This window comes from Homo sapiens, chromosome 4, assembly GCF_000001405.40.
Source record: "Homo sapiens chromosome 4, GRCh38.p14 Primary Assembly".
NCBI classification, from domain to species: Eukaryota; Metazoa; Chordata; class Mammalia; order Primates; family Hominidae; genus Homo; species Homo sapiens.
The window spans coordinates 120,918,454-120,929,569 of record NC_000004.12 but is presented as its reverse complement, the minus strand read 5'-3'; the positions used below and the strand labels follow the sequence as shown (position 1 = coordinate 120,929,569).

Below are 11,116 nucleotides of genomic sequence, written 5' to 3'. Positions count from 1 at the left end.
CTCTCTTTCTCTCTCTCTCTCTCTCTCACACACACACAGTTGATCCTTGAAAAACATGAGTTTGAATTGCATAGGTCCATATACATGGAATTTCTTCCACTCCTACCACCCCTGAGACAGCAAGACCAACCCCTTCTCTTCCTTCTCCTCAGCCTACCCAATGTGAAGGCAATGAAAATGAAGAGCTTTATGATGATCCACTTCCAATGGAAATATGTTTTCTCTTCCTTATGATTTTCTTAATAACATTTTCTTTTCTCCATCTTACTTTATTGTAATAATTCAATATATAACATGTATAACATACAAAGTATGTGTTAATTGTTTCTAATAAGGCTTCTGGTCAACAGTAGGCTATTAGTAATTGTGTTTTGAAGAGTCAAAAGTTATACTCAGATTTTTCACTGCATCGGCGTTGGCATCTGTAACCCCTGTGTTGTTCAAAGGTCAACTGTACATATATTTAAGGCGTTTTTGTTCTATTGGATAGCACTTATCTCATGGGAACTTCTCAGCTGACCACAACCTTCTTCCAGAATCCCTGCTGAGTATATGCTTCACCAAAGCTGTCGTATAGGCTCCACCAAAGGAAGCTTCCACTTTCTTCTTGTAGGAACTTTGGTAAGGCTGCTAGGGCTTTAAGATAGTAGATATAAAGAACCTAGTCTGCTTTCTGGCATGTACTAGACACTCAGTACCTGGAACCTTAACCTTGGTTTCTTTCACGTTTCTTTGGCTTTCTGTTAATTTTCCATACTCTGCTCCAAGAATAGCACTGCCTGTTGGGTGAGATGACTACTAATTTATCCTTCAGCTTTTCTTTTTATAATGTGTCTTAGTTCATGTTTTGTTGCTGTAACCTGGGTAATTTATAATGAAAATAATTTCATTCGGTTCACAATTCTGGAAGCTGGGAAGTTTAAGCATTGCACTGGCATCTGGTGAGGGTCCTCCCATGGTAGAAGGGTAGAAGGTGGAAGCAAGCATGTGAGACAGACAGCAAATTGGCCAAACTCACTTTTATAATAATTTACCCTCAGAAAAAGTATCCCATTACTAGGATAATGACATTAATCCATTCATGAGGGGTCTGCCCTCATGGCCCAATTAACCTCTTATTAGGCCCCACCTGCCAACACTGTTGCGTTGAAAATTAACTTTCCAACACATGAAATATTCAAACCATAGCATTCCACCCATGGCCCCCCAAATATATATACTTTTCACAGTGCAAAATACATTCATTCCATCCCAGTGGCCCCCAAAGCCTTAACTAATTCCAGCAGTAACTCAAAAATCTAAAGTCCAAAGTCTCATCTAAATCAGATATGGATGAGACTTACAGCATGATTCACCTTGAGGCAAATTCCTTCCAGATGTGGGCCTGTAAAATCTATTTCCAAAATACAATGGTGAGACAGGCATTAGACAGAAATTCTCATTCCAAAAGGGATAAATAGGCAAGAAGAAATAAGAGGTCCCAAGTAAGCCCAAAACCCAACAGAGAGCATTATGTCATAAAGCCAGAGAACAATCTCCTTTGACTCTATATCCCACATCCTGAGCACACTGATGTAGGGATTGGGCCACCATGGCCTTGGTTAGCCACAGCCCCACAGCTTTGCTGGGCTCAGCCCATGACTCAGCTCTCTTGGGTTGATGATGTATGCTGTTGGCTCTGTAGTTCTGGGGTCTTGGTGGCAGTCCCACTTCCACAGCTTCATTAGGCATTGCCCTGGTGGGGGCTCTCTTTGGCAGATCTGCCCTGTGACAAGTCTCTGTCTGGGTCTCCAAAGGCCGTATGCAACATCCTTTGAAATCTAGATGGAGAAAATCATGCCCCTACAGCTCTTGCATTCTGGACACCTGCAGACTTAACATCATGTGGATGCCACTAAGATTTGCCACTTGAATCTTCTGGAGTGACAGGTCAAGTCACACCTAGGGTGTCTGAGGAGCACTGTAATGAAATGGGTGGAGCAGAGACGTGAGGTGGCTCTGGGTGGCAAGCCCATGGAGGGCACTCAGGGCCCATTGCTCAAAACCATTCTGCCCTCCTACAGCATTGGATCTGTGTTGGCAGGGTTAGCCTGGAAGATCTCTGAAATGCTTGCAGGATCTTTTCCCATTGTCTTGATGAGTAGCACCTGGCTCCCTTTATTCATATTAACCTCTTTAACAAATGGTCACCATCCACACCCTTAGTGTTCTCTCCTGAACAGGCTTTTCAGTTTTTATCTGGCCAAGATGCAAATTTTCCAAATCTTTTCACTCTGCTTCCCTTTAAATTAGTTAATACCTTTGCTCTCATATCTCACTGCATGTAGTTAAAAGTAGCCAGACAGAAGTCTGAATGGCTCACTGCTTTGATATTTCTTCCACCATATATCCAAGTTCATCACTTTTAAGTTCTGCATTCCATAAAGTCTTAGGATATAGGCATAATTCAGCCAAGGTCTTTGCTATCTTATAACAAGAATGGTCTTTATTCCAGTTTCCAATACCTTGTTCCCCATTTTTGTCTGGAACTTGTCAGAATGACTGTTACTGTCTATATTTTTCTCAACATTTTTAGGAAGATTTAGACTTTCCTAATTCTGGGATCTTTTTCTAAGCCTTCATCAGAATTGTCCTTCATGGTCTGTTCATGGCAATATGTACCTTTTCTTGCTTGCTCCTCCAAATTCTTGTAGCCTCTACTCATTACCGAATTCCAAAGCTGCTTGCACAATTTCAAGTATTTGTAACAGAAATAACTCCACTTCTTGGTCCCAATTTTCTGTCTTAGTCTGTTCTCTTCTCCTATAACAGAATACCACAGATTGGTTAAATTATAAAGAAAAGAAATTTGGGGCCAGGCATGGTGACTCATGCTTATAATCCCAGAACTTTGGAAGGCTGAGACTGGAGGATCACTCAAAGCCAGGCGTTTGAGACCAGCCTGGGAAACAAAGTGAGACTCCATCTATACCAATGAAATAAATAAAATAAAATAAAATAAAATAAAATAAAATAAAATAAAATAAAATAAAATAAGATAATTAGCTGAGCACAGTCATATGCACCTATAGTCCCAGCTACTTGGAAGACTGAGGCTGGAGGATTGTGAAGCCAGGAGTTGGAGGCTGCAGAGAGCTATGATCATACCACTGCACTCCAGCCTGCAGACCGAGCAAGACCTAGTTTCTAGTCTTGAAAAAAAGAAAAAAATTATTTGGCTCATGGTTCTGGTGTCTGGGAAGTTCAAGAGCCTACCACTGGCATCTGGCAAGGGTTATTTCTTGGCAGAAGGACAGAAGACAGAAGCAAGCTCTAGAGACACAGAGAGGAAATGGGGTTAAGCTTGCTTTTATAACAACCCACTTTCTAGATAACTAACGCTCTCCTGTGGTAATGACATTAATTCATTCACGACGGCTCTGCCTTCATGACCAATTACCTCTTGTTAGGCCTTGCCTCCCAACACTGTTGCTTTGGGAATTAAATTTCCTACACGTTAACTTTTGAGGGACACATCCAAACTGTAGCATAATGTTACTCAATTTAGTCACAACAACCTTCAGTTTTCTTCTAGTTAAAATTTATGATTCTTTTTTGGTACCACATACAAGTGTATGGTACCTTTCCAAAACTCAAGACATTAAGAAAAATTTAGTGTTCACACTTTTTTAGGTTTCAGGGACATCTTTTCATGGTGCTGTTGCTATTGTAGAATCAATGCTGAGGATAGATGTTTTAAGAGCAAGAATCTGACACCGTTACTCTCCATTTTATTTTAACAAACTTTTTTTTTTTAATCACACCAACTAAATCTTTATTCTTTTCTGCTCTGGAAACTTGGTTTTATATTCAATTATTACAAAAGCCCTCTGGTTCTCTGATAACTGAAGACAAATATGTTTCAGGTTATTATTATTTTTTTTCTATCAATCAGGCTTTTAGTCTACCATGGTGCTTGGAATCAGTCATCAATAACCAAGGCACAATTAAAAGAGTTCGACAGTATGTATAAATACTGACAGTATGGTAAAATAATTAATTAATATACAGTCATAATTCAAGTCTTCCCTAAAAACAAGGCCCACTCAAGTACATACGTTTAAATGCAATAACTAGAGCTTGCTTTAGACATATCAATGAAAAAGATTCCTCCAAAAGCAAATCTGAAAGTAAGGAACAATGTATTTTGAATAATTTCTTGTTTGTCAAGACAGTGCAATATTTTCTAGAATAAGTAAATCAGGTGCATGGTAGTACTTTAATATCAATTTTTTTGATTTTGTTATTTATTTTTTAAAGACTGGATTTAAACTCCTGATATAAAGCAGACTTTTAATTTCCCGTTTTTCAAAGATAATATTGAAAGGTCGCTTTCTAGCTTTTAAAGTTTTAAGAAATGACTCATTGTACTATCACTGTCTTACAGGCTTCAAAATCAAATATCCGGTCAATACTGTGCATTTTGATTTGGCAAACATGTATCCTTTTTGTGTGTTGTAATGGAACTTATTATTAAGAACTTTTTATTGCTAGTTCCTATGTTTTAGTTAGTAGATCTTCAGAACACTCCATTAAATAGATAAAAAAGAACATTGCATGCTTTAATGAAATACACTGAATGTGTCAATTGTAACAAAAATATCTGACCAAGCTTCATAAAATATCTGGAAAGTTTCTCATCTTATTGATTTCAGATTTATCTTTAAAATTTTATTTATATACTTTCACCATTTTCTAATTAGTAAAGAAGCCTACATTCAGAGAGGGGCATTCTCAAGGCTGCAGCCTTGCTCCCCAGAAAGACAGCATGCAACCAAATATTTGAGAGATATGCCTAAATAAGGATCCCTAAATAAGGATTGTTTCAGACTAAAACCAAAAAACGTTTTCCTCTCCAGCGATCAAAAGCTGTGGAAATTCTCGTGCCCAAAGAGACAGTGGCAGAGCATTTGACTGAGAGCCCTGGATGGCTTAAGGGTGGCTGGAAGCCTGTGTTTGACAAAGAGCTGAATGCTCCAGGAAAATGCCAGGGCCCCACCTTCTGGACTGTGGGCCCAGTGGATCTGGTCTGGCATGGTTTCAGCCCTGGTTCTAAGGAACCCTGGAAAACCTACTTAGTCCAGTTCCTTGTGAAGCACAACAAAAAGTCAAGTAAATTCTAGGCTCACCATAGAATTTTTGAACATCTCAGATCAGCCTCAGAAGTGACTTTCATTCAAGACATATTTAATGAACACCTACTATTTTTCAAGGCCATGGAACTCCCAATTCCCCCAAAAGAGAGTTTTTGTTTTTATTGATTTATTTTCCCCTAGAGAAGTTAGAGATCTTCCATGGGAAGTCAAAGGTATCAAAACTCACAGAGTGGCTAAGTGTTCCTCTCCCTGCTGTGAAAGCTAAACTTACATTTCTTAGAAAGAGGATCATGTCATCATTTACTGTGTTCCTTAAAGTCTCCGAATATTGCCACTACATGATTTTTTTTTCCCATAATGCCTTTTGTTCTTGTTTTTTAAACCTTTTTCCAAACTTGAATCAAAATCTACATAGGGGCCGGGTGTGGTAGCTCAAGTGTGTAATCCCAGCACTTCAGGAGGCCAACGCCGCCGGAGGATCCCTTAAGCCCAGGAGTTCAAGATCAACCTGGGAGACATAGCTAGACCCTGTCAAAAAAAAAAAAAAAAAAAAATCTGCTTAGGAACTATGTTCCAAGGGTTTCCTGCAGAAACAGGAATCGTTTCCATGGTGTGTGTGTGTAGTCTGTAATTTTGTCAAACTTTTGTGTGTGCTTTTAATGGTTTATGAGAACATCAATTAAGAACATCAAATGGTTTCCGAGAAAAGACCCTAGAGTAGAAAATTACCATAAATATCAAGAGAAATGAGTAGATGACCCCAGGATCACTTTGAAGGATGAAACAGGCTTTTAAAGGTCCTGGGCACACTGCACAGCCTAACAGCTTATTAAAAACACTAAAACAAGACTTGTGACTTTATTGCATTGTTGTGACACCAGATGCTATTGTTTGGGTGTCCCCTCCTGTCTCCCACAAATCCACTTCCGTATGTCTGAAAATCCGTAATACGTCTAATGATTATCAAGCAAGGGAGGTCTCAGGAATATTGTACCTTGAGAAGTATAAGAACTTCCCAGAGGTTATGTTACCATAAAATATCTAGTTTCTAGTGCTTAAAACATTAAATTGTTTGCAACATATTTTTCCGTACGTTAATCAACATACTTTGCGATCCCTTATTAAGTTCTAGCCTCTGCAACAAACGTGAAAAAAAGCAAAGACGCATAACTCAAATGTGAGAAGCACGGAAATTTCCTAGACCGCAGGGTTCGTTCTCAGTAGTCGGCAATAAGCTGGCTTTCAGAGTCAGGAACTTGATAAAGTTGTTTTGGAGGATGCCCCAGCTGTGTGAAGGTCCATTTCGTTTTGCATCTGAAGAGAAGCAAGCGAGACTCCCCTACAGGGAGTAATGGTTCAGCGGGGCAAGGTTTGAAAACCCAGAGCTGGACAAAGGCGGGAACGCACGCCGCCGCGCCGGGGCTAGGGGTGCTGACGGCCCGCGCAGCTCGCGGGCCTCCGGGTTTGAGGCCCTGGGGTCAGCCCTGCTCCGGGCTTCGCGCCCGGGCGCGGGTCAGAGCCGCCAACTTCGGGCCAATCAGCGAGCGGCGTCCCGGCGCCCGCAGCGCCCAGGCCCGCGCCCCCCGCGCCCCCGCAGCAGGAATGGCAGGAACGGATCCGGGCCGAGCCCGACCCGGGACGAGGAGGGGCTGAGCCGCGGGGGATCCTGGAATCGGCAGGGAGGTGGGGATTCTGGGAGGAAAACTCCATTTCCTCCTTCCCTGCCGGTTTCTCCCCTCTACCCTGGCACCCCAAATTTCGATGTGCCGCCTGCCGGGCGCTAAGCGCCGGTGTTGAGAGAGGCGGCGGCCGCCGCGCCCGGGAAAATGCTGGGCATGTACGTGCCGGACAGGTTCTCCCTGAAGTCCTCCCGGGTTCAGGACGGCATGGGGCTCTACACGGCCCGCAGAGTGCGAAAGGTGGGTGACCCGGCGGCGGCCTGCGCGCCCCTGCACCTCGCGCGCCCTGTGCCTCCCGGAGTCGCCCTGCCGCAGGGCCCGGGGCGCGGCGGGCTTCACCCCGGTCGCCCCTCGCCCGGGCCGGGCCAGGCGTCCGTGGGAAGGCCGGGGACCGCGGGGCACGGCGGGGGTGGCCTTTACTCGCTGCGCCACCCGAGCAGGCAGCGCCACGTAGGTGGCGGCGGGGTGCGCTCCGCTGCCGGCCGGTCCAGGGGCGGAACTGCCACCGGCCTCCCTGCCGCAAGATGTCTTTCCTCTCTCCCGCAGGAAGTGAGCGCGGCGGGAGCCTCCCTCTTCCTCGGTTACGGGTGTGAGCTGCGTCTTTGCGTTGGCGAAGGCACGCGTGGGCGGGTGTTTTCCCCCGCGCGCACGCTGCTCCGCTGTCGCCTCTTTTCCTTTAGGATGAATTAATGTGGCTAGAAACGCCTAACTTTCCATGCGGGGATGGGAGGAGCAGCCCAGAGCGCCGCTCCACGCAGGCCGTAGAATCTCATTCATACGCCCAGGATTTCCTTCCCTCCTTCTGGAATGTATTATATGTGCCTTCAGGGAGGTGCCAACCAGATGATCTTTGAGTGTCTATACCTTTTTTCTCCGCTCTTTTTTTTTTTAATTTGTCTCCAACATCGGTTCGATCTCTCCAGCCAGAAAGTTACAGGCATGTGATGAGAGGAAGCACATTGCTCAGTTCGTACAGGAAGGGCCTGAAAGTGTTGGATGTTGAAAGCAAAGGCCTAGGAAGAGAGGCCACAGGAAAAGTCCAGCTCTTTGGATTTGATCTTATAATATTATAACTTGTTAGAGTCGTCCTAGCCGTCCTCGCCCCCTTTTCTTAGTAGATATTTTGTAAGATGGAGGTTTGGGCAAGAACAGGCTTGTTCAGGTAAGGTATGTTAACAAGAGGTTCAGAGGATGCAGTAGAGACACTAGGGTGCCTTTCATCTGCATATAACCCTCTCCCCTTTGCCTCTGACCTAAAGAGCTGGTGAAGAGTAGTAGAAAGTGCTAGTAATCCCCAAAAAGGGCTCCACTGACAACATGATCTCCAGTCATCCTTCAGGGCAAAATTGGAGAAAATAAACCACTTATTTATTTTTTCAAGTGGGAGTTGGCGAGAATGTTCAAATGTTAAAAACAGGAATAAATAATTTATCTGAATTAGAGGTGTATTGAATAGTTGCCAAATGGCCAAATGTTAAAATCAACATTTTTTGAAGGCCAAATACAACCATCACCAAATGACGTCTGTACAGAGTTGAAATTCTCCTTTTAATTCATTCTTAAAAGATGTGAAAAATTCTCAAACAGACCTTCCTTAAAGGTTTCTGGCTTAAATTTAATTACTTTAAAAATTAAACACAGATCTTAAAAATCATTTTATTTAATGTTATGAAGAGTACTGTAAACAACTCTGCAAAGATTAGAATTATTATATAATCCTTGTTGTTTCCTTATATTACCATATAGATTTTTAGAAACAGCTGGCCAACCTACTTTCTTTTGAGATTTTTATTAATTTCAGTTTATTTTTTTCATGTGTTTGATTCTTTGTAAGTATTTTATTTTTGGGCATGCAATGAAATGAACAGCTTCCAAAATCATCATATATTATTGCATCACTTTACTATTGCAATGATAAATGCTTATCTTTTCCTGGCCAGTTTAACTTTAATAAATAAAACACATACAGATTTTCATCCAGATCATATTTAGAATGCTTCGCTGTATTTCAAAGTGAATGTGCAGATGTTTGCTATGAATCCAAACTATTATCGATGTTTAGTTATGATCCCAAAATATTCAGTCACAAGGTCATGGACAGGTTTGTTGATCTCAGAAATGACCTTAAAGCAAGCTTCAGTTCCTTTTCCTTCCAAAATCTGAGGACGAAGACAAAGCTAAAGCCAAACAGCAGACTTTAGCTGAATTGTGAGGCTGCAGCTGAGTATCAAGGCATCCCTTACCTGCTTATGGAAGGCAAACAGTCCCTCAATTCTTAGGTATTTTCCAAGTAACCTTGTACTAGGCCTAATTCTGGACATAAATCAAGGGATCTGAGAAGAGAGATTTATCAGCAGCTACATTAAGAACCTTACTTAAAAGTTTTTATGCTCTCTATTCTAAACAAATTTTGGAAGATACCACTTTTAATACATGTGTTGGAAATTACAGATGTTTTGCCACACTTTTATAACACATATGCTTGTATAACACTCCTGTTTTAAAAAGTGCTTGCAATTCAAGCCATCTGTTGATTTCAAATTCAGAGAATCTAATCCAGACTGAGGTTGGGGAATCTTGCTAGAAACCCCACCCTCATTACATTCACCAGGTTGAGATGGGATTTTCTTGCTGGTGGTACCTCTTAATCCTCTAGTCCTACCCCTTTTCGTGCAGTGCTTCCTAGAGTGGTGGTGTCTTTGCAGCAGAATCACCTAATTCCCTGGCTTTACCTTAGTCCTACTAGATTTTTCCTTGGCAATTATCCTTTTTTGCTGGTCTGTTGCCTCTGATTTTTTTTCCAGTATAAAAATCTGTATAGTGACAACTCAAGAAAACGAAAAGAGTCAGTTAGAAAGCTTTTGAGAAGAAAAAGGAGACCTGAGTTCATTCATACTTTTACACATTGTGATTTGCTAATAATCAGAATAAGGAAAAATAATGAAATTGACACTTTTTGCATGCTGTGTGCCAGACCCTGTCTAATGCTTGCTGTGTTTTCTCGGGAGCACAGTTGAATGCTTCAGTGAAAATGTGGCATTTTAGGTTGCAAAGTATTATGCAGATTAAAATTAATATTAGTTACTCAAAACTCATAAATTAAGTATACATCCAATAAAAATTTAAAGTTAAGCAGACACCTTACTACATTACATTTTTTGTTTCATGACCATTTTTTTCCTAGCTTGCTTATATGATTAACCACCAGTGGGTGGTGTTTTTTGATATTGTACCTGAAACTGCAAAGTGGAAAGGTTATTTCAAGCTCTCAGATTATGTGATTTTAAGGGAAAGATTAAGGTGGAAATACACTGCTCTCAGCTTTCTTTCCCTTTGGATATTTTAGGCTGTAGGTTTTTCTTCTCTGACTTTCAGTCATTTAATCATTCATATGTGGCAGGTACTGTACTAGGCCCTGGGAATACACAGGTGAGCAAGACAGACAAGGTCTTTTTCTGCAAGGAGCTTGCTTTCTTATGTGGGGAGATAGGCAGCAAACAAGTATAAAATGGAAGATTACCAAAATGATTGAGGCAAGTGTTAAATTAATTGCAGGAAATAAACAGGATGAGGCATTAAAGAGTAAATGAGGGGTGGGTCTACTTTAGGAGGGTCAGCAGGGAAGACTTTTCAGAGGAAATGACTTCTGAGCAGAGAGCTGAAGTCGCTGAGCCAGCCAGGAGATTCTCTAGGAAGAGAAGTGCAGAGAGCCAGCCTGTTCAGTATAAAGTTCTTCCTCTTTCAAAGTGCCTGTCTCTGGGCTTTGGCCAGAGGCATGCTTCCCAGCCTGTGGGCTGGCCACTTGGCAGGCTGCAACCATTTAGGAGAAATAAAGTCCTGTCTCCGCCTCTCCTTTTCTAAAATTATATCTTGTAATTTTTTGCTGAGTTAACAGACATCATCTAATTGGCACATCCTCATTTTACAGGTGAGAACACTGAAGCCCAGAGAGTTGCAGGGAGTCTTGCAGCTCACAGTTGCCTCTCAGATTCCTATGCCTTCCACAGTGTCAACTCCCTCCTTTCCAAACCAAGGCACACACCTTGATTCTCACTGAGGGATTTGTACTAAGGTCATTTGGTGAGGTAAAATCCTAAGTAAAAAAAAAAAAAAAAAAAAATACCTGACGTAAAGGCTTAAAGGTGAGTTTGTAAAAATACAGTAAGATTTTAAAACAAAAGTCAAATTTTACAAAGTTAAAAAAAATCAAAGAAAGAAAAAAGCTGAAACAGATAAGTAAATAAAAGCCTGTAGAGGAAAAATCACCATGCATAAATGTTAATACAGGAAGAGCAGACTTTG

General features: G+C 41.8%; 1 protein-coding gene and 1 long non-coding RNA gene across 22 annotated transcripts in view; one reads left to right on the top strand and one right to left on the bottom strand.

Annotated features, from left to right (window-relative positions):
* Window positions 1–248: 248 nt before the first annotated feature.
* LOC105377399 (uncharacterized) lies at window positions 249–6,634 on the bottom strand. Its single transcript, XR_001741804.2, has 2 exons — window positions 6,243–6,634; window positions 249–2,802 (listed from the first exon to the last, which is right to left on the bottom strand). It is a non-coding gene; the product is annotated as an uncharacterized LOC105377399 (long non-coding RNA).
* The window catches only part of PRDM5 (PR/SET domain 5), a 238,436-nt gene continuing 234,163 nt past the window's right edge, over window positions 6,844–11,116 (top strand). For all 21 annotated transcript variants that reach the window (XR_938678.2, XR_938680.3, XR_938679.2 and 18 more), the window contains exon 1: window positions 6,844–7,054. Coding sequence is in view for 18 of the 21 variants with exons in the window: in XM_047449558.1 (XP_047305514.1) it covers window positions 6,962–7,054 (93 nt within the window). In the remaining 3 variants the exon portion in view is untranslated. The remainder of the gene's footprint in view (window positions 7,055–11,116) is intronic.